The following is a 22,686-nucleotide window of genomic DNA, read 5'->3' on the forward strand; positions in this document are numbered from 1 at the left end:
TAATTTAGGGACATGGATTTTTGATTATTATTATTATGAACTCAAAGAACAGCATTAAGCACAGTTTAAGATGAGAGAAAGTGGTAGGTGTTACTATTCTTCGTCTAATATTTTAATTATTTCATTTACTAATATAGAAATGCTTCACTAATTCAGACTAGTCTATAATTTTATCTGCAATATTGCAGACATACTTCATGATACTTTTGTTAATTAAAATCAGTTTAAATAGTTAAGTGCATAAATATATGATGCACTGACATTTAAATAACAGAAATTTAATGTAAAACTAGTTTTTTTTTCCTTAAGGGATAAAAACTTTGTAAAGAATAAAAGACATGATCTGTTACTGACATGTTTAGAGGAGGAAGTGTTCTTATTAACATATGTTTTTAATTAAACCGAAACATATTTCTTATGGAATGCTTATGTATCAAACAGTATGCATTTTCAAAAAAAAAAAATCTTACAAATAGAAAACTGTTTTGGCCCTGAAGTCAGACAGGAATGTTTATCTGCTACAATATAATCAGAACCATTTTTGGTCTTCCTACTAGAAAGCATGCCTACACAAAGCATGTGGTATATTTGTTAGGTATCTGACATTCATTATTTATACTCTTCATTCAAAAAGGAAATTTTAATGGTCCTCAGAGAGTTGAAGTAACTTAACCTTGACCACACAGTGAGTAAGCTAGGATTCAAACTTTGGTTAAGCTTACTCCAAAAGCCTACACACATTTCTTTACCTGATTCCCCTGATTCCCTATAAGAATTTTTAGCAGAGATGTTGTACAAACCACTAAAAAAATTCATTGAGTAATATATGAATTGCAATATTAGGTTCTCTCAATTTGTATATGAACAATATATCGCACTTTGTATATGGACAATATATCACAGACACATTTGGATAACGTAGAATACAATGACGTCTGTAGCCCTTATACATTATAAATGCTTCTGTATCCATAATTTCTTTTGATCTTATCAACCTGAAAGGGGAGTATTATTGGCCCCATTTTGTAGATGTAACTGATGTTTGGAGAGATAATTCAGCTGCCCGAAGTCAATTAGCTAAAGAGTACCCCAGTTAGAACTTGAACTTAGGACATTTGATCCCAAATGTTACCCTTTCAGCCGACTGAACACTGAACTTGCAATATTATATCATCAACATTTTCTGATGCATGGGGAGTTGCCGGCAAGATGGCTGAATAGGAACAGCTCCAGTCTGCAGCTCCCAGCGAGATCAATGCAGAAGGTGGGTGATTTCTGCATTTCCAGCTGAGGTACCTGGTTCATCTCACTGGGACTGGTTAGACAGTGGATGCAGTCCACGGAGGGTGAGCAGAAGCAGGGTGGGGCGGTGCCTCACCCAGGAAGTGCAAGTGGTGAGGGAACTCCCTCCCCTAGGCAAGGGTAGCCTGGAGGAACTGTGCCTTGAGGAACAGTGCACTCCAGCCCAGATACTACGCTGTTCCCACGATCTTCACAACCCGCAGACCATGAGATCCCCCCGGGTGCCTACGCCACCAGGGCCCTGGGTTTCAAGCACAAAACTGGGCGACTGTTTGAGCAGACACCAAGCTAGCTGCAGGAGCTTTTTTTCATACCCCAGTGGCACCTGGAATGACAGCGAGACACAACCATTAACTCCTCTGGAAAGGGGGTTGAAGCCAGGGAGCCAAGTGGTCTAGCTCAGCACATCCCACCCCCATGAAGCCCAACAAGCTAAGATCCACAGGCTTGAAATTCTCACTGCCAGCACAGTAGTCTGAAGCCGACCTGGGATGCTTTGAATTTGGTGGGGGAAGGGGCGTCCGCCATTACTGAGGCTTGAGTAGGCAGATTTCCCCTCACAGTGTAAACAAAGCTGCTGGGAGTTCCAACTGGGTGGAGCCCACCACAGCTCAGTAAAGCTGCTGTAGCCAGACTGCCTCTCTAGATTCCTCCTCTATGGGCAGGGCATCTCTGAAAGAAATGCAGCAGCCCCAGTAAGGGGCTTATAGATAAAAAACCCCATCTCCCTGGGACAGAGCACCTGCGGGAAGGGGTGGCTGTGGGCACAGCTTCAGCAGACTTAAACATTCCTGCTGGCTGGCTCTGAAGAGAGCAGCAGATCTCCCAGCACAGCGCTTGAGCTCTGCTAACGGAAAGAATGCCTCCTCAAGTGGGTCCCTGACCCCCGTGCTTCCTGACTGGGAGAAAACTCCCAGCAGGGGTCGACAGACACCTCATACAGGAGAGCTCCAGCTGGCATCTGGCGGGTGCCCCTCTGGGATGAAGCTTCCAGAGGAAGGAACAGGCAGTAATCTTTGCTGTTCTGCAGCTTCTGCTAGTGACACCCAGGCAAACAGGGTCTGGAGTGGACCTCCAGTGAACTCCAGGAGACCTGCAGCAGAGGGACCTGTTAGAAGAAAAACTAACAAACAGAAAGGAATAGCATCAACATCAACAAAAATGACGTCTGCACAGAAACCCCATCTGAAGGTCACCAACATCAAAGACCAAAGGTAGATAAATCCACGAAGATGAAGAAAAAACAGCACAAAAAGGCAGAAAATTCCAAAAACCAGAACGCCTCTTCTCCTCTAAAGGATCACAACTCCTTGCCAGCAAGGGAACAAAACTGGAGAATGAGTTTGAGGAATTGACAGAAGTAGGCTTCAGAAGGTGGGTAATAACAAACTCCTACAAGCTAAAGGAGCATGTTCTAATGCAGTGCAAGAAAGCTAACCACCTTGAAAAAAGGTAACTAGAATAACCAGTTTAGAGAAGAACATAAATAACCTGATGAAACTGAAAAACACAGCATGAGAACTTCCTGAAGCATGCACAAGTATCAATAGCTAAATTGATCAAGCGGAAGAAAATATATCAGAGATTGAAGATCATCTAAATGAAATAAAGCATGAAGACAAGATTAGAGAAAAAAGAATGAAAAGGAATGAACAAACCTCCAAGAAATATGGGACCATGTGAAAAGACCAAACCTACGGTTGATAGGTGTATCTGAAAGTGATGGGGAGAATGGAACCAAGTTGGAAAATACTCTTCAGGATATTATCCAGGAGAACTTCCCCAACCTAGTAAGACAGGCCAACACCTGTCTTCTCGCTGCCAGATTCATAACGCAAGTTCTTAGAGACCTACAAAGAGACTTAGACTTCCACACAATAATAGTGGGAGATTTAACACTCTGCTGCCAATATTAGACAGAGCAACGAGACAGAAAATTAACAAGGATATTCAGGATTTGAACTCAGCTCTGGTCCAAGCAGACCTAATAGACATCTACAGAACTCTCCACTGCAAATCAACAGAATGTACACTCTTCTCAGCACCAAATCGCACTTATTCTAAAATTGACCACGTAATTGGAAGTACAACACTCCTCAGCAAATGCAAAAGAACGGAAATCATAACAGTCTCTCAGACCACAGTGCAATCAGACTAGAACTCAGGATTAAGAAACTCACTCAAAACCACTCAACTCCATGGAAACTGAACAACCTGCTCCTGAATGACTACTGGGAAAATAACGAAATTAAAGCAGAAATAAATAAGTTATTTGAAACCAATGAGAACAAAGACACAACGTGCCAGAATCTCTGGGACACAGCTAAAGCAGTGTTTAGAGGGAAATTGATAGCACTAAATGCCCAAAGGAGAAAGTGGGAAAGATCTAAAATCAACACCCTAACATCACAATTGAAAGAACTAGAGAAGCAAGGGCAAACAAATTCAAAAGATAGCAGAAGACAAGAAATAATTAAGATTACAGCAGAACTGAAGGAGAGAGAGATACGAAAAACCCTTCAAAAAAATCAGTGAATCCAGGAGCTGGTTGTTTGAAAACATTAACAAAATAGACTGCTAGTCAGACTAATGAAGAAGAAAAGAGAAAAGAATCAAATAGACACAATAAAAAATGATAAAGGGGATATCACCACTGATCCCACAGATATACAAAATACCATCAGAGAATAGTATAAACACCTCTACGCAAATAAACTAGAAAATCTAGAAGAAATGGATAAATTCCTGGACACATACACCCTCCCAAGACTAAAGCAGGAAGAAGTCGAATCCCTGAATAGACTAATAACAAGTTCTGACATTGAGGCAGCAATTAATAGCCTACCAACCAAAATAAGCCCAGGACCAGATGGATTCACAGTCAAATTCTACCAGAGGTACAAAGAGGAGCTGGTACCATTCCTTCTGAAACTATTCCAAAGGATAGAAAAAGAGGGACTCCTCCCAGACTCATTTTATGAGGCCAGGATCATCCTGATACCAAAACTTGGCAGAGACACAACAACAAAAAATTTCAGGCTAATATCCCTGATGAACATCGATGTGAAAATCCTCAATAAAATACTGGCAAACCAAATCCAGCAGCACATCAAAAAGTTTATCCAACATGATCAAGTCGGCTTCATCCCTGGGATGCAAGGCTGGTTCAACATACTCAAATCAATAAACGTAATACATCACATAAACAGAACCAATGACAAAAACCACGTGATTATTTCAACAGACACAGAAAAGCCTTTGATAAAATTCAATACCCCTACATACTAAAAACTCTCAATAAACTAGGTATTGATGAAATGTATCTTAAAATAATCAGAGCTATTTATGACAAACCCACAGCCAATATCATACTGAATGGGCAAAAGCTGGAAGCATTCCCTTTGAAAACTGGCAAAAGACAAGGATGCCCTCTCTCACCACTCCTATTCAACATAGTAGTGGAAGTTCTGGCCAGGGAAATCAGGCAAGAGAAAGAAATAAGGGTATTCAAATAGGAAGAGAGGAAGTCAAATTGTCTCTGTTTGCAGATGACATGATTGCATATTTAGAAAACCCCATTGTCTCAGCCCAAAATCTCCTTAAGCTGATAAGAAACTTCAGCAAAGTCTCAGGATACAAAATCAATGTGCAAAAATCACAAGCATTCCTATACACCAATAACAAACGGAGAGCCAAATCATGAGTGAACTCCCATTCACAATTGCTACAAAGAGAATAAAATACTTAGGAATACAACTTAAAAGGGATGTGAAGGACCTCTTCAAGGAGAAATACAAACCACTGCTCAAGGAAATAAGAGAGGACACAAACAAATGGAAAAACATTCCATGCTCATGGATAGGAAGAATCAATATTGTGAAAATGGCCACGCTGCCCAAGTAATTTACAGATTCAATGCTATCCCCATCAAGCTAACATTGACTTTCTTCACAGAATTGGAAAAAACTACTTTAAAGTTCATACGAAACCAAAAAAAGCCCACATATCCAAGACAATCCTAAGCAAAAAGAACAAAGCTGGAGGCATCACGCTACCTGACTTCAAACTAGACTGCAAGGCTACAGTAACCAAAACAGCATGGTACTGGTACTAACACAGATATATAGACCAATGGAACAGAACAGAGGCCTCAGAAATAACGCCACACATCTACAACCATCTGATCTTTGACAAACCTGAGAAAAACAAGCAATGGGGAAAGGATTCCCTATTTAATAAATGGTGTTGGGAAAACTGGCTAGCCATATGCAGAAAACTGAAACTGGACCCCTTCCTTACATCTTATACAAAAATTAAGATGGATTAAGAGTTAAACGTAACATCTAAAACCATAAAAACCTTAGAAGAAAACCTAGGCAATACCATTCAGGACAAAGGCATGGGCAAAGACTTCATGACTAAAACACCAAAAGCAACAGCAACAAAAGCCAAAATTGACAAATGGGATCTAATTAAATAAAGAGCTTTTGCACAGCAAAAGAAACTATCATCAGAGTGAACAGGCAACCTATGGGAGAAAATTTTTGCAATTTATCCATTGACAAAGGGCTAATAACCAGAATCTACAAAGAACTTAAACAAATTTACAAGAAAAAGTCAAACAACCCCATCAAAAAGTGGGCAAAGGATATGAACAGACACTTCTCAAAAGAAGACATTTATGTGGCCAACAAATATGAAAAAAAGCTCATCATCACTGGTCATTAGAGAAATGCAAATCAAAATCACAATGAGACACCATCCCATGCCGGTTAGAATGCTGAGCATTAAAAAGTCAGGAAACAACAGATGCTGGAGAGGATGTGGAGAAATAGGAACACTTTTACATTGTTGGTGGGAGTGCAAATTAGTTCAACCATTGTGGAAGACAGTGTGGCAATTCTTCAAGGATCTAGAACCAGAAATACCATTTGACCCAGCAATCTCATTACTGGGTATATATCCAAAGGAATATAAATCATTCTACTATAAAGACACATGCACATGTATGTTTATTACAGCTCTGTTCACAATAGCAAAGACTTGGAACCAACCCAAATGCCCATCAATGATAGGCTGGATAAAGAAAATGTGGCACATATGCACCATGGAATACTATGCAGCCATAAAAAGGATGAGTTCATGTCCTTTGCAGGGACTTGAATGGAGCTGGAAACCATCATTCTCAGCAAACTAACACAGGAAAAGAAAACCAAGCACCATATGTTCTCACTCATAAGTGGGAGTTGAACAATGAGAACACATGGACACAGGGAGGGGACCATCACATACTGGGGCCTCTTGTGGGGTGGAGGGCTAGGGAAGGGATAGCATTAGGAGAAATACATAATGTAGATGACAGGTTGATGGGTACAGCACACCACCATGGTATGTGTATACCTATGTAACAAGCCTGCACGTTCTGCACATGTATGCCAGAACTTAAAGTATAAGAAAAGAAAAACAAAAACAAAAAACATTTTCTATTACATCATTTCTTTTGCCATATTTCCCCAACTGATTAAGGTTTTATTCTATTCACAGATTTCTAACTCCTGGTAAAAGTATAAATCTAAACAAGCATAGCAAATCTGAGTAAAGAGAGTATTCTAACTCCTGAAATACCTCAAGATTCATTTTGTTTGTTATAAATCCAGCTACTCTAGCTTTCTTTGGCTAATATTTAAATTAAACCTTATATTTAGTTGTATTTATGGTAAAAAGCATATACTGAGTTTTCTTCTTTTATCCATTATAATCCCTAAATTTAACAGATGTAGTTTCTCCATTTACATTTATCATGATTACTAATATACCTAGATTTATTTTTACTATATTATATAATGCTACTAGCTTTGCTTTTTCTGTGAATTTTTATTTCTTCCTTTCTGGAATTTATTGCTTGCTTATACTATCTTGAAGACTATATGCAATATTTCTATCCTTTTAAGTGATGACCTTTAAAAGTCAACATGCATATCTTGTTTATTCTCTCACATTTTACATATTATTGTCCATCTTACTTTTACACATCCAAATTAATCATCTACATGGTCACTGTCACCATCATTATTACTTTTATACAGTCAATATTAATTTAGCTTTTAGTACACGCTCAACAATTTCTTTGCTCACCATTACTTCCTGAATTTCATTCGTTTTTAATGGATTCTGTTTTCTTCTACAAGAGGTATAAAATTTAGTAGTGGTCAGTCTTTATCCGAAATGACTTTATTTCATCCTCACTCTTGGGTAATAATTTAGCTGGATATGTAACTCAGGTTCACTTGGTTATTTTGTCTTAGCACTTTGGAAATATTCTCTCTTACATTCTCAATTGTACTGCTATTTTTAAGTTTGCTACCGGTACAATTTCATTCTTACGTAGGTTATATTTTTTCTCCTTGGCTGCTCTTAAGTCATTCTCCTTGTCTTTGGTGTTCTCAAGTTTTATTACAATGTGACTTTATTTATATTTAATATTTCTTGATATAGACTCGTACTTGTTCAATATGAAAATTCATGTTTTCCTTCCATTCTAAAAATTCTTATTTTCCTGAATATTGCACCATCTTATTCTCTCTACTCTTCCTTCTGTAAGTTCTATTGGACATAGGTTGAACTTCATTGTCCTTAAGTCCTTCAGCCTCTTTTATATTTTCAATCATTTTATCTCTCTGTGCTGCTTTTATGTAGCATAGAGATCACTCTTCAGATCTCGCCTAAAATTCAGTGTCTTTTCAGCTGTATCTAATCTGTCATATAACCCATTCAGTGATTTGCACAGTTTTTAAGATATTTTCATAATAAAATAATCTCAAATTTCTACTCGATTCTTTACCACATCTGTCTTTTCTTTGTCTACAATTATTTCCTTTCTTTTTTGAATATGTTTTTATAACTAACTTTTTAGTTTTGGTTTATGAGATCGTCATTGGTAGGTTTTTATTTGTGGTGCTTCTCTGAGGCCTGGGTTGAAGGCCTGCACCTCTAGAGTGGCTTTGAATGTGCTTCTGAAACCAGTTTTTATGTTAATTTTTGGCTTAGTGTAATTTAAAACTAGAAACTCATTGTGAGGGCAGCCTCTTGGTCACAAATCTTCAGAGAGTTTTCTATTTGGAGCCCAGGCAGAAACAAGATTATTTATCTTCCACAGTGCCTGTGGGTAAGTTTTGTTTCCAGTCTGCCCATTTCTGATGATGGAGCTTTTAGAGGTTCTGACTTGATAAGGAGACTTACGCTGGGATCCCAGGCTTGACTCCCTGTCCACGGGGGAACTAACGAACATGCCTTAGGTTTTTGAGCTTGCCAGTAGTGTGAGTGAGTGTGGGGGCTGCTCAGGGCCATTTTGGTCTTGAACATTTCCCTTTCTTTCCTGTAGTCTCAGCTATCTTTGTAAAAAGATGGCTTCAAATTTTATTCAGTGTTTTCAGGTGTTCGGTAGTTTAAGTGTTTTCTCATTATTTAGTCTTTTATCAGGAAACAGCAATTCTTTTCTATCTTTTCTATCTAACACGTGTGCTTACTCTGTCCATCCTGTACTGAATGATAATGGAAAACTGTTTATTAAGATTCTACTAAAACACAACCGAAGAGTGGGCTGGTGGTGTATGTGTCAAGAGGTGAAGAATTGCATATATCCTAGGCTTTACTATTCATTCAGATAGAGTCTGGTTTTAAAATTAATAACAATCCCCTTGGAAAAGTCTGCCTGTTTTAAAATCTTGAAAGAGCTACAATAATCTACAGCAGCTATATGCACCCAGGGATAGCAGCAAATAAAAATATAATTATTGATAAGATAAATTTGGACAAATAAAATCTAGTACCTTGAAAAGGAGCTTGGTTGCACCACACATTTCTGATTATATTTGGCATGACTTTTAATTGCAAATGAGCCTTTAAAAAGTCTTCACTCATTATTATTATTTACAACCTGCCTTCACTGCCTTAAATATTCAAGAAGATTATTTTCCTATTGAAATATCAGTAGGACGTGGAGAAAAAAGTTGAAAAGTCACAAAAAGCTGTAATGTAACCTCTTGCCAGAACTCACATGTTCATGAAAAAAACTACCCTGGAACAATATGCATATCAAGACATTAAACTTCAAAAGGCATTTCACTTCTATACTTAAAATGTATAGAAAAAAGGCTGACTCCTTATAATAAATATTTTACTATGACATTATTTCAATAGAAAGCAAAATAGTAATAGGCAATATTAATTGTGGATAACATTGAATTTTCATACTGTACAGTGGACAAAATTTTTTAAAAATATAGTAGCCATAATATCTCAAAAAAGGAACTTAAATCTTTTTACTATTAAATCCTCAATAAGCTATGCCTTCTACCAAAAACATGGACCACAACCAACATTGCTAACGCCTTTTTAAAAAGTGTTAATAATATTCCTCTTATTTTGTTCACTGCTTTTCTTCACCTTTACAGATGACATTTTTCAAACTATAAAATGCATTCTGCTGGCAAACCTTCTTGCTTCGATAGTTCTCAATTTTATAATAGTAAATCTACATCCTTTGCTACTGAGACATCCACTAAGTTTCATTATGTGACTTTGAATGACGCAGAGAACAAGCTATACATTAAAAAAATCAATATCTAACCTTATCAATATTCATTTTCCTTTGTCAATACAAAATACAAAGGTGAAAGAGCAGTAAATAAGCTAAAGCACTGAAATAAATTTGGTGTTCCTGTCACAATTAATAAATGTTCAAATGACAACACTGCTGGTTAGTCTAGCGCTTTCTAAAGCGACTGAAATTATGCTTCAAAGCTATTGCTAAAAGAGGGTGAGAAAAATTTTCAATACACTAGCAGGTAAACGTAATCAATTCTGGGTTATTAATTTCATAGGAGGCTTTAAATCTTTTATTAAAAGTGTTATTTATTATGAATACAATTTATCTTCAGTCATAAATTGTTATACAAATGCAGTTTTGGATTTAAAGTGCCTAATTATAGTTTTCTGACAATTTTTTGGTAAATCCTTTCTAAACTCGCTGTTTGATTATATAATATTTCACATATAAATCAGAGGGGATTATCAAACAATACTCAAGCTGTCAGTCTTTTAACTCTTACTCCCTATTTCAAATAAAAGACTGTTATCATCTGCATTTTTCTTGTTTAGAGTTAATGCTGACTAAAGGCAAAAGAAACTACGAAAATATATCTCAACTCAATGTGTTTTTCAGGAGTTCTGCAAGGGCCTATAAAAGGGCAAGAATATTGTCCTTAGCTAAAAATCAGAAGTTTACAAATATAACTAACTCTTTATTATGTGACTGACTCTTTTTCAGAATTTGAAAACTGTAATTTTCAGAGACAAGATGATCTAGGATTCATGCCCTCATTATCAAAGTGTATTTATGCAAAACCATTTCTTACTTGAATTTGGATAATAATCTTCACCTTAGAGTTGATTCATTGGTATTAAAAGATATTCTATTTAAAACTGAGGACTTTAAGATAACCTCAATCTCTTCCTCTTAGAGACAAACAGTTATGCATAGATTTTAAAAATGCCTCGAAAATAAGTGATGCAATTCTCCTGCTCCACTACTTTTTGAGTAATTAAAAGTGCATTAAATTTCTATGAATTTTATCTTCTAAGTAAAAATGTAGTAATACCAACATCCTGAATATTAAGAAAATCACAATTTTGAAATATAAAATCTGGTATATGCTGGTGTAAGCTTATATAAAAAAAACTGTTTTAGGCTAAAGTTCAATGTTTGTACCCATATGCCATATAAATGATTTCTTCTGATGTTACTGAGTTGTAACGTCAAAATCGCCTTGCAGAAATAATTATATTATCCGCTCCTCAACCATTATGCATTTTCCTTCTCATTTCACATATGTTCGGAGTGTTAGGACGTGACCCCAGTATTTTCTTTTCCTTATTGCTGCCACTAAGGTGCTTTAGTAGAATTCCTAAGATTGTTCTTGTACTGTTTCTGCCGCTAATGGTTGAATCAATGAAAGATAAGAAAATTCAGGGACCATTCAACTGGAATGCAGATGTTAAAGAATCCTATACCTGCCTTATGAAAGATCTGAATTGCAAGACTGATGACATGTGTTTCATCCAAAATGTGGCTACATGTTCCTGTATGAAGAGATATATTAGAAATATTTCATGAATATTCGCATTTCTACATAGTAATAGTTAGATAAATCTTCTATAAAACTTAAGGCATATAGTAGTGCGTTTAAGTCAGCATATGCAATAGGACAATCTTTATATATATGTAATGTGCATATAAAGAAAATATATATATTCTTACAAAGAGGCTGTAAGTACATTGCTATGGAAAGAGCATGGATTTAGGTGTTATGCAGACCTAGGCTTGAAACCTTCCCTTGCGTTCAATAATTCTGTCATCTTAGGTAGCTAACCTAACACTTCTTTGCATCTTCATTTTATGATCTGTAAGGTGATGATAACACCATCTCCCTCATACAGTTGTTATAAAGATAAAATAATAAAGTTTCTGGTACACAGTAGGTACTCAACAAGTGGCAAATATTATTCTATACAAATACAAACGCACTCTACACACAGGTGTTTCCTAATCTTGAAAATTCAATACAGCCAGAAGATGATCAGGTATGCATCTAAATGCATAATTTTATAATCTAGTCCCTTATATGGAACAACTGCATTAGAAGTGCTCCAATTTTAAGTTATTCTTCAATTTTCTAGTGCTTTACTATGGAATAGGTTCCCTAATAGAGAACGTGGCTGGGTGCGGTGGCTCACGAGCCACCTGTAATCCCAGCACTCTGTGAGGCCGAGGTGGGCGGATCACCTGAGGTCAGGAGTTCAAGACCAGCCTGGCCAACATGGTGAAACCCCATCTCTACTAAAAATACAAAAATTAGCTGGGCATGGTGGTGGGCGCCCATAATCCCAACCACTTGGGAGGCTGAGGCAGGAGAATCGCTTGAACCCTGGAGGTGGAGGTTGCAGCGAGCCAAGATCACACTGCTGCATTCCAGCCTGGGTGACAAGGGTGAAACTCTGTCTCAGAAAAAAAAAAAAAAAAATAGAGAATGTAAGTTTCACATCTTTTTTTTCCTCTTAAACTCACCATGCTACCCCACCCCCATAAAACCATGCATATACTTACATATATTTTTCTTTTTACTGTTTACTCTCCTGTTGATAGGAATCTTATTTTCATAGTCTATAATTAAAATCACTTTTCCTATAAAGGCTGCCCAAATGAAGCTAAGAGAAAATTTCTAAATGTGTATGGTTAAAGATCCCAGACAATAGGTCAAGGCTATTATTCTTTGTATCTACACTGAAAAACATTTTCTCATACAGCTTGCTGCATCACAAATCCATTATGGCTAACGGCTGTTTATTTATATGTTGGTGTCTACATTTTAATGTCCACTTGGCTTCCTCCTATCACTGACTTTATCTGTGCCTCCCTTACCACTGCTCTTGCATGAGACTTTCAATACATACTATTTTATTCACAACCTTCACTACAAGGCGAGTCTTTGCCCTTTCAGTAAGGCAGGCTTCCTGTCCTCTCCGATCTACAGTGACTTCCCTCTGATCAGTACTTGTAGTCTTCTCAATACCACGCTCATTATTAGAATGGCATATTATTAGAACGACATGATTTTTGAGGTAGAAATGAGAGCTTTCGCAATCTAGTACTAATGTTGTCTAAAGAAGGAATGAGGAATCTAAGACTGCTACAGAACTGGGACTAGAAACCAGACTGCCACATTTGCTCAGTCAGGTGTCCATCTCCTACCACATGGGGTCTTGTGTTTTGGGGCTGCGGCTATACTTTTTGAATTTATTACTATTAATCTCTTCTGGGGTTATTTGTCATTTCATCTATTTATGCCTTATTTTCCCAACAAGACTGTAAATTTATAGAGGCCAAAGATATAGCCTTTGAAGTTTTTGTATCCTTTTAATACCTTACACGAAATCTTGCATTTGGGCAGGGATGTAACATATACGTTAACCTGGAAGATCTACACATGGAACATGTAATACACCCTGATACCACATGCAAATGATTTGTTTTCATAGTTTCTTGCAACTGTGCTTCTTCTTCATTGCAAGTGATTAAGAAGTATCTACATTTTATTCTTCATGATTTATGAACTCTACATTTGTGCTCCACTCTAACCCTGCTTTTGTTTTACCTGCAGTAGTAGGTCCAGGCAAAGGTGCAGCTTTTCTTCTCCGTTTGATATCTCCCGTGCATAAGGATCCTAAATGCATGCTTGTTTGCCTACGAATAATTATCAGAAAAAACTATTAACAAAGAAGAAAAAATGACACATAAATACACAGCTTGTATCATCTGAACCTAAATCAAAACGTTCTCAACAAAGATGGAGCTGCGTAGTAAAATCACCAATCTTGTTTATATCGAAACATAATTACATTTGTTGACAAGCGTTCAGCAGCTAAATGCGCCATCATAAATTGTTACTGGAATGAATAATATAAAAGGAATGCTTTTTAATTTTCAAAACTGGCAATCTTTCTGGCTCAACATAAAATCAAGCACTGTTGCTTCTGACAGGAAAATAGCTAAGATTAATTATCTAAAGAGATCACAATATTGTTGCTAGGTTATCAATTGGTTACTAATGCTTTACTGTCAGAACAACATTTATTACAGGAAAAGTATGATCAATTTCTTTTAGGATATTACGCAGCAGTGAATTCTCTTAAAACATTTTAAATAGAAGGAAATAGTGATGCTTCCCTTATAATTTATATGATTAGAATTCTTCAGTTAATTATTTATTAGCTGAGTGAGAAAACATAATTTGAATGCATTAATGCTGGTCTACTGCTATTTAACATTCTAACATGATACTGGATTATATTTGTAAAAACATGATATATAAAAACCGAGAAGTGGACCTTCTGCTATTTTTGGAACCAGTTACTATATAATTAGATTCTTCTGTCTAATTTTGGTCTCCTAAATTGAAAAGTTATATAAAAAAATAAGAAATGGGCCAGTTAGAAATCAAGACGAATACAAAAAAGAAAGCATTTAAAGTCTTCAAACTTTTCAAGCTATAGAAAGATTCTGTGTTCATTTCCTGCATCATAATCCTTGATGCAGGGTTGGGATAGGGCCTGGGGAACATGAAGCAGAAATAAATGAAAGCATGTTTATGACAACCCATGTTCTTTTAGTAAGACAGAGAGATATCTGACAGTATCTTGAGGTTTTAAAGAAACTAATTTGAGAACAAACAGATTATTAGGAAGAAAAAAAGGGAAAAATTAACTAAAATTTATTCAGGTAAAATTCAAAATTCAAGGTATATATTTAAACACATATACTCATATGGTTAAATATAATGAAAAATTAGTGCTGGAGAGTACAGTTATTTCAAATATAGATTTTATTTATAAAGCACAAAGTACAGTCATAATTAATGATCTGAGTAATCTAAGGGCCACATGCAGTCAAAAAAATACACCACAAAACCTTATCAACATATCTTAACAGTAAATGAGCATTTGTCTAGTTTTCTTTTACCTTTTTATTGAGCGCATACTGTTTCTGTTACAAAATAATTATAATTATTAAAATATTTCAAAAAACCTTTCAAAAATTCATTCTGTTAATGACTAACTTAGCTCTGCTTGGCTCTCCAAAAGTTCATTAACATGCATGACTATAACATTTTTATTGGATTTTGAGGTATGGTCTTGGCTCATGATGCCAAGAAAAATGAATAGTTATGACTGTGTCTACTTTTTAAGATTATATATACATTTTTAAAAAGTAGAATGATGTCACAGAGAAGACATACTCTTTTTGTACAAATTTAAAGTTATTCCTTTACTTATTCAGCAAACATTTATCAGTATCTATTATGGACTTAGCATAAGACTCCAGTGGTGGTGAAAATGGGGAGGGGGAAAAGAGAAGATGGGAGATACAAAGGAAATGAAACTTTCAGTTCTCATTATTGGAAGAATTTAAAGTCAGAGTGGCGAAAGAAAACATAAATATGTGTATATGAAATCATTAGGTACAGTGGTAGTGGCGGCAGGCATAACCAACTTTATTAACGACTAGTGAAGACTGTATTATTTAGTCCTTACAACAATCCTAAATATGCTGCATCAAATATACATTTTTTCCTTGGTAGGATAAAATTTGTGCTTCCATGGAAAAACTATGCTTTCAGGAGTATACCCTTTCAGTCATTGAATGCTAATTCTATGGAATCTATTTTACAACTCTACCTTGTAGCTAACCGAAAGCAATGGGAAATACTTCTTAACTACAGAAACACAAATAAATTCTGTCCTGTGGAATGACAACCTTCCTTTCTGTGGAAAAGCTAGTTTTGGGTCCATTTAAACCATCATTTCAATACTCCTTTACTCCATATACACTTGAGCTTCTTTGACTTCTCCTTTCAACTGGTTATAACATCTGCCCAGTTCCCTCATTAGCTAATGAGTTAAATAAAATCTTTAACACATACCCACTTTATATCCATATGAGAGTCATAATATTACCTTTTTGTAAAAAAGTATCCTTTCACATATCTTATCCCTATTGAAATCTCCCCTTAGCAAAAGACTGGAGCAAAGTTTACCTTCTGTAGAGCATATACCAGACAGGCTCAGATATCAGAAATAGCTGAAGAGGAGGGGAAGGTACCATTCTGAAAACAGGGAATAAAGTGGGAATCTGAATTCTGCAGTGCGGGTCTTCTGTAATCAAGCTGTGAAAACCAACTCATGAACTAGCTACTTCTGATCCTCTGTTAAAACATAATAAACATTCTTACAGTTTAAGCCACTGCAGGTCAGGTTTTCTATACTTGCTGAACGAATTTCTGAGTGATAAAGAGTTTGCTCTGTTCAGGGAGTTATGAGTAGTTCAGGATGCCTGCAGAGCAGTGTTGGCAGAAGGGACTGTATAACACGAATGGAAAAGAGCACTGCGGCTGGACCATGGGGCCATACATGCCACCTTTGTCCCATGAAGATGTTTGGACTTAACAGCGATGTGGAGTCATTAAAGTAGACCAGATGCATGGATGCTGGTAGAGAGCTCGAGTTGGACACGGTTGAGACTGAAGAGGGAGGAGACCAACTAGGTTTGCCATAGTTCAGACACTCACTTCCTCATCTCAGTTATAATAACTAAAGAATGATGCAAGTTACTGCACAATGAAACTTCTTGGTTGTACAAATATTAAATATCAATAAAAATTTTAAAAGAATTAAGGCTGGTTTTATTGATTTCAGATACTTTTAAAGCTCAAACTAAGCTAAAACAATTATTAGCCAGGGCACGTTTCTTAAGAAACACATTTTTAGAAATAATCAGAAGAAATACTTGAGTGCCTGATATTAGATGCTCACTGTGACTATTAATACCATTGGTTTCTATTTACTTTGTTTTTGCACTAGTTATATGTAATTGGAGTATTCTAATTGCTTAAAAATAACTCTCCCAAGTCAATATTGCCTTTATAACTATTTTTTCATACTTCTTAAAATTTATTATGTAGGCCTATTTACAAAGATAGTGAAAAACAAACTTCAGGAACAACCAACTCCCTCTTCTAAACCTTTTTTTTTCCATCTGCTGGACCAAACATTTTGGGTATCTTCACAGAGCAAATGAAATATAACATTTTCATTCAACTCCCTTCCCCGACCCCCAACATAGCTACATAAAGAAAAAGAGAAAAATGTTCAAGGAGAATAAAGTTAATAAACTCAGCAACACCAAACCTGAAGACCTGAGCCATAAGAAAAACAGCTAGCTGTATATTTCAGTAATTCTATCAAGAATTGACTGTCTGCTACACAGCATTGAGAGATCTGGATTATTGATCCATAAGATCACCCCATTTAGGCTTGCCCCACACCCCCCTTCTTTCAGACAGGTGCAGTGGAGTTGCTACAAATGACACTAAGTAAGGTCTACTCTGTTATTTAGTTGTCACTCTTCATGTAAACAATAGCAGTTATTTTTTAATTTAAAATCAATGAATGTCTCAAAGGCAGCCTTGTTTCTTCAGTCTAAATGAGTCATTTGTCTTTGCAAAGCAGAACATTTGGAATACTACTCAAGGTGATGGTCGGCATTTTCTGTTTCTTTCTTCTGCAGTGTTTTGAGAATGACAATGCAACGTCCTAGGAACAGACCCAAAGTTATTAAAGAACAATATTAAGATCCTTTTGTAAGGTGTATCAGAAAAACACCAATCAACTAGATATGTGTTTTAGTTGGGATATTTGCATGGGGAGGAAGAGAAGGGAGACAAATCAAAACCAACCTATTCTGAAGTGGAAAGGATAAAGAAATGGTGCATTTTTGTTACGGGTCTGTCACTTACGATTTGAAACATGGTTTCCCAAGTATTACTTCTGAAAATTTTCCTATTAAATATTAGAAAAGCAGAACTCAAAAAGAAGTCTTTTTGTTTTATTTTGCTTTTTAAACCAACTTCACTTGGTTTATTCCCATCGTTGGCTGCAGGCTATCTTTTAAATGGGGTGGTGGCAGGAAGCTGGACATCTTATCTGGAGGGAAAAAAGTAGAAACAAAACAAAACAACAACCCAATAAACTCAAAACAAAAAACAGAAACAAAAACTCTACTGAGAACCACCTTGCCTGAAAACCTGGCTTTTGACACGGGCTGACAAGGACCGAAGCAGGCAGTGTCAGACGCAATAATAGTAAAGAGAAGACAAGAGGAACTTGTCTCTTCATTGCATGCAATTACAAACAGAGGCTGTTCAGAGAATTAGGCCTAGTTAAAGCTGCCCCCTGGATAAAATGTGTTCCCAAGCAGCCTCGGACAAGCTGCAAAACAGACAAACAGACGTGACTATGGGCCCTGGCATTTGGCAAGAACACTCACTGTCAGTTAGAAAAATATCAGCCTGGACAGGGCATCAGCTGCACAGAAATAAAGCAGGTCTGTGGTGTCACTGGAGGAGCATTCCAATGGCAGAGATAAGGATGGGGGTTGGGAAACCCAGCCCCATGTGAACTTCCTTTTCTAGATCCAAATTACCCTCCCCGCTTTACTTGGTGTCAATATGTCTCAACGTATTAAACTGAACAGACAGACATCAGTATCTAGCTTTTTTTCCTTTAGTACCCAAACGCACAATACAATAAGTATCAAGCACTTTCAAGTATAAATGTTTTATAACGACTAGAATGATTGAATTAAATCCTTGTTTTTCTGGCCTGGTGCGGTGGCTCACGCCTGTAATCCCAGCACCTTGGGAGGCTGAGGTGGGCGGATCACGAGGTCTGGAAATCGAGACCATCCTGGCTAACACGGTGAAACCCCGTTTCTACTAAAAATACAAAAAATTAGCCGGGCGTGGTGGTGGGCGCCTGTAGTCCCAGCTACTCGGGAGGCTGAGGCAGGAGAATGGCGTGAACCCGGAAGGCAGAGCTTGCAGTGAGTCGAGATCGCGCCACTGCACTCCAGCCTGGGCGACAGAGCGAGACTCTGTCTCAAAAAAAAAAAAAAAAAAAAAACCTTTCCTTTTTTTTTCCTCCCCTTTTTGAGACAGAGTCTCACTGTACCCCAGTTTGGAGTGCAGTGGCGCTGCTCACTGTGACTTCTGCCTCTTGAGTTCAAGTGATTCTCATACCTCAGCACCACGCCCACCCTCCCGGCCCCCACGGGTAGCTGGGACTACAGGTGCACACCACTATGCCCTCTAATTTTCATATTTTTACTAGAGACGGGGGTTTCACCTTATTGGCCAGGCTGGTCTCAAACTCCTGACCTCAAGCGATCCGCCCACCTCTGCCTCCCAAAGTGCTGGGATTACAGGCCACTGCACCCCACCAAATCCTTGTTTTTAATGGTGGTGTTTTCTTTCAAAGCAGCTTTTTGTGCATGATCTCTTTGGACATTCATAGCAACCCTTTGCATTTGGTATCGTGGATCACAGCCTGACCAGTTCTTGGCTCTGGTCTTCTCTCTTGATGGCTTTGGTCATTTGACTACACATTCTGCCTCAAACCTGATCTTAGCAAGAGGTGGTTTAAGTTTTAGCTCAGTGCACTGAAGTTAGTACTTGGGTTTCAGTAATTGGATCCAAGCTTTATTCTAGACTTACCCTACCTTACCACAAACCTTGTAGTAACTTAGTTCTTTCAGAACTCGGTAATTGCCTTGACCTCCTAGATGCTCAATTCCTGGCCATGAAATGGAATCTGGTGATGGAGGCTCTTTCTAATGCTGCCTGCCTACCCTTCTCCAAGCATCAGCTGCCCCTGGCTCCTATCCCTGTTCACTGCCTACCTGTTGGCAACTCTTGACTCTATGTTGATTAACCTTCCACCACATGTAGTCTGAGGCTCTACCCCTTAGATAGAATGATCTGCCTGCCACTGTGTAGTTCCTCTCACTGCTTCAGATGGATCTGTCCTGTTAGTGCCTCTTCCACTCTAGTCAGAGGGTTCGAGTCCAAACTTCCTTCTTCCCAGTCTGCTTTATCCTGCTACAGGTAATTGGTGGCCTCTTCTGGAGCTACTGTTTATTGTGTTTCCTATGTGCCTAGTGTGAGTGAGCCACTGATATGGACAGGAGACAGGGAAACACTAGGTAGAAGATGGCAGTACCCCAGCAAAGGTCCCACCCTCAAGCCTGGAAACCTATGGTCCTAAATGAGAATAGGCATTCCTGTTTTTGCGCCCAAAAGTTGCCTTTGGACTGCCACACCTCCCTATCCTGTACCCATATAAACCCCAGGCCCCAGGCTCCAGCAGCAGACAAGGAGAAGACAGACAAAAGAGCAGAAGCACAGCAGAATGGTGTGGCAGAGAGAAGAGAAGGAGCATCTGAACGTCAAGAAGAATTTGGCTGGGGATAGTCAGAGAGGAATTTGGCTGCTGGACGGCCAAATTCCAGGGGAAGACCATCTTCCCACTCCGTCCCCTTCCCAGCTCCCCATCCATCTCACTGAAAGCCATCTCCACCACTCAATAAAAGCCCGGCATTTACCATCCTCAAGTCCCTGTGTGACCGAATTCTTCCTGGGTGCTGGACAAGGACCTGGGTACCAAGAGGGCACTGAGCTGGTTAACACTTAAGCTGTCTGTGGATGGCAAAGCTAAAAGAGTGCACTGTAACACACACCATGCCCACTTGGGCTTTGGGAGTCACAAGTACCCACCCCTAGATGCTACTGTGGGGCCAGAGCCCCAAAGTGCTCACCCCTGGCTCCTGTATCTGTCCATCTGGGTGTTCCACCTCCTGTTAGGGGTTTGAGGGCACACAGTGGACCAACAGACAAGCCACACCCCTGTCACACCTCCTGCGAGGGGTGACAGGGAACACTCCCGTTTTAGCACCACTGTGTCAGAAGGCTTCTGAAGGAGCTCAAGGGCCTCATTTCATTCCTGCTGCCACCCTGCTAGTGAAGGACTCTCCTGACTCCTCAAAGCAGTGTCAGCAGGGCTGAAATGTAGTGTGCAAGGAGGTGAGATGCAGGGGACAAGGTGGGAGCCTTCAGAAGAGCCAGAAACTTACTGAAATTATGTGCAAAATACAGGTATGCATACTTTTCTAGCAAGAGGATGCATGAATTTTATCTGATTCTGAATGATTAACAGAGAGGGTTACCCAAAAAAATAGACTCAGTAGTTTTAAAGCAAACTATTCATAACCTAAAATAGAAAATACTTGTCTTAAAATATCATTGGAATATTTAAAAATATGCCACATATATAGGTCACCTTTTAAAATCACAATATCAAAAAACACAGAATAGGTGTGTGCGCTAAACTAAAATATCCAAATCAATGAATATGCATAGGCCTGGGTTGAAAGGCATGGAAGACTGTGCAACAAAATACTGATGATAATGATTTGTGTGTGATGGCATTTTGTGGGAATTTTCTTCTTTACCCTTCTCATTATTAATATTTTTTCTTACATTAAGCACGCAATGAAAGATACAAATTATAACCAGATTAATTAGAAAAAAGAAAAACAATGGTATTGATAAATGTAAGTGGTTTTGGCAGCTGGATGAATTTCTCAAAGGCAAAGTCAAGCTTTTCACACTGGGGCAGCTGTGGTGTAAATTGAAGCTTTAGGTTGCATTGGTTTGATTTGCATTTGGGATGAGCCAGAGAGTCAGGACATGTTCCTTCTTGTAACACCATGTCTGCTTTCTCACTAGAGCTTTGAAAAAGTCCGCTTATCAATGTTTGAGAAGGCTTTTTATCAGCCTTTGGCATGTTACTTACATTCTCTTTGCCTCAATTTCCTTAACTTCAAGAATTATGATTAAACTAATGCTTACCTCAAAAGATTTCATTTAGAAATCATTTATGTAAAACATTTTAGCACGTATATATTCAATAACTGTTAGCTATTACTCTTACTATTATTATCATCCCCACCCTACAGATAAGGAGCCCAGGCACAAAAAAGTTAAGTAATTTACCTAGAGTCACAGATGGAAGGCACTTTCCATACAATACATGCAGAAGAATGCTTAGTGTAGGGTGTCACTAAACACATACCAAATAAACACATAGCAGAGTAAACTCATTACATCTGAAAATTGCCATTATGCTACAATAAAGGAAGAATTAGGGTCATTTGAAAAAATCATGTAGGCATTTTTTTGGTAGTTAATAGAAAGGTTAACTTTTTCTTCATTGTCCATTTCTGCTTGCTTTAAATGTGTCATAACATACAAGAATGAAACACTCATTTTCATTTCAAAAACTCAATTAAAACTCACAAGAGTCCTTGAGAAGAAAACCCACTGATATTCTGACATCAGCCTATTGCTGCAGATTCTCTCTTGGCCACCATTTGGTACTTTCTCTTCAAAGATGTCTTGCTTGGCCGGGCGCGGTGGCTCACGCCTGTAATCCCAGCACTTTGAGAGGCCGAGGCGGGCGGACCACGAAGTCAGGAGATAGAGAATATCCTGGCTAACACGGTGAAACCCCGTCTCTACTAAAAACACACAAAAAAATTAGCCAGGCGTGGTCGCGGGCGCCTGTAGTCCCAGCTACTCCGGAGGCTGAGGCAGGAGAATGGCGTGAACCCGGGAGGCGGAGCTTGCAGTGAGCCGAGATCGCGCCACTGCACTCCTGCTTGGGAAACAGAGCGAAACTCCGTCTCAAAAAAAAGATGTCTTGCTTCCTTCATATGGTATGCTTCATGCTTTATCTAAAGCCTAGAGGGACTGCTAGTCCAATGATATCATTCCTTGTGTATGTTAAGAAATACACGACACCATATTCCTAACCAGCTCAGTTAAATATTTCTTTTGTACTGCTTCATTATTCCACACAAATGATAACTGAAAATGG

At 38.1% G+C, this 22,686-nt stretch overlaps 1 protein-coding gene across 4 annotated transcripts in view, besides 2 other annotated features; it reads right to left on the reverse strand.

The window, feature by feature from the left end:
- The window catches only part of GPATCH2 (G-patch domain containing 2), a 204,099-nt gene that overhangs the window by 8,743 nt on the left and 172,670 nt on the right, over nucleotides 1–22,686 (reverse strand). For 2 of the 4 annotated variants that reach the window (XM_011509690.4, XM_011509689.4), the window contains 2 exons: nucleotides 13,515–13,603; nucleotides 11,374–11,442 (listed from right to left, as the gene is read on the reverse strand). In XM_011509690.4, the coding sequence (XP_011507992.1) occupies nucleotides 11,374–11,442; nucleotides 13,515–13,603 (158 nt within the window). The remainder of the gene's footprint in view (nucleotides 1–11,373; nucleotides 11,443–13,514; nucleotides 13,604–22,686) is intronic. The other 2 variants (XM_017001592.3, NM_018040.5) reach the window with 1 other exon arrangement.
- Nucleotides 1,043–1,562: an enhancer, noted in NCBI's record as "H3K27ac-H3K4me1 hESC enhancer chr1:217610119-217610638 (GRCh37/hg19 assembly coordinates)". NCBI's record gives its function as "activates a minimal SCP1, AML or CMV promoter by ChIP-STARR-seq in primed H9 embryonic stem cells {active_cell/tissue: H9 hESC(primed)}" and the evidence as "EXISTENCE:reporter gene assay evidence [ECO:0000049][PMID:30033119]".
- Nucleotides 17,993–18,287: a silencer, noted in NCBI's record as "tiled region #1921; K562 Repressive non-DNase unmatched - State 9:DNaseU". NCBI's record gives its function as "represses a minimal TATA promoter and a strong SV40 promoter by Sharpr-MPRA in K562 cells {active_cell/tissue: K562}" and the evidence as "EXISTENCE:reporter gene assay evidence [ECO:0000049][PMID:27701403]".

Source organism: Homo sapiens, chromosome 1 (genome assembly GCF_000001405.40).
Source record: "Homo sapiens chromosome 1, GRCh38.p14 Primary Assembly".
In the NCBI taxonomy this organism is placed as follows: Eukaryota; Metazoa; Chordata; class Mammalia; order Primates; family Hominidae; genus Homo; species Homo sapiens.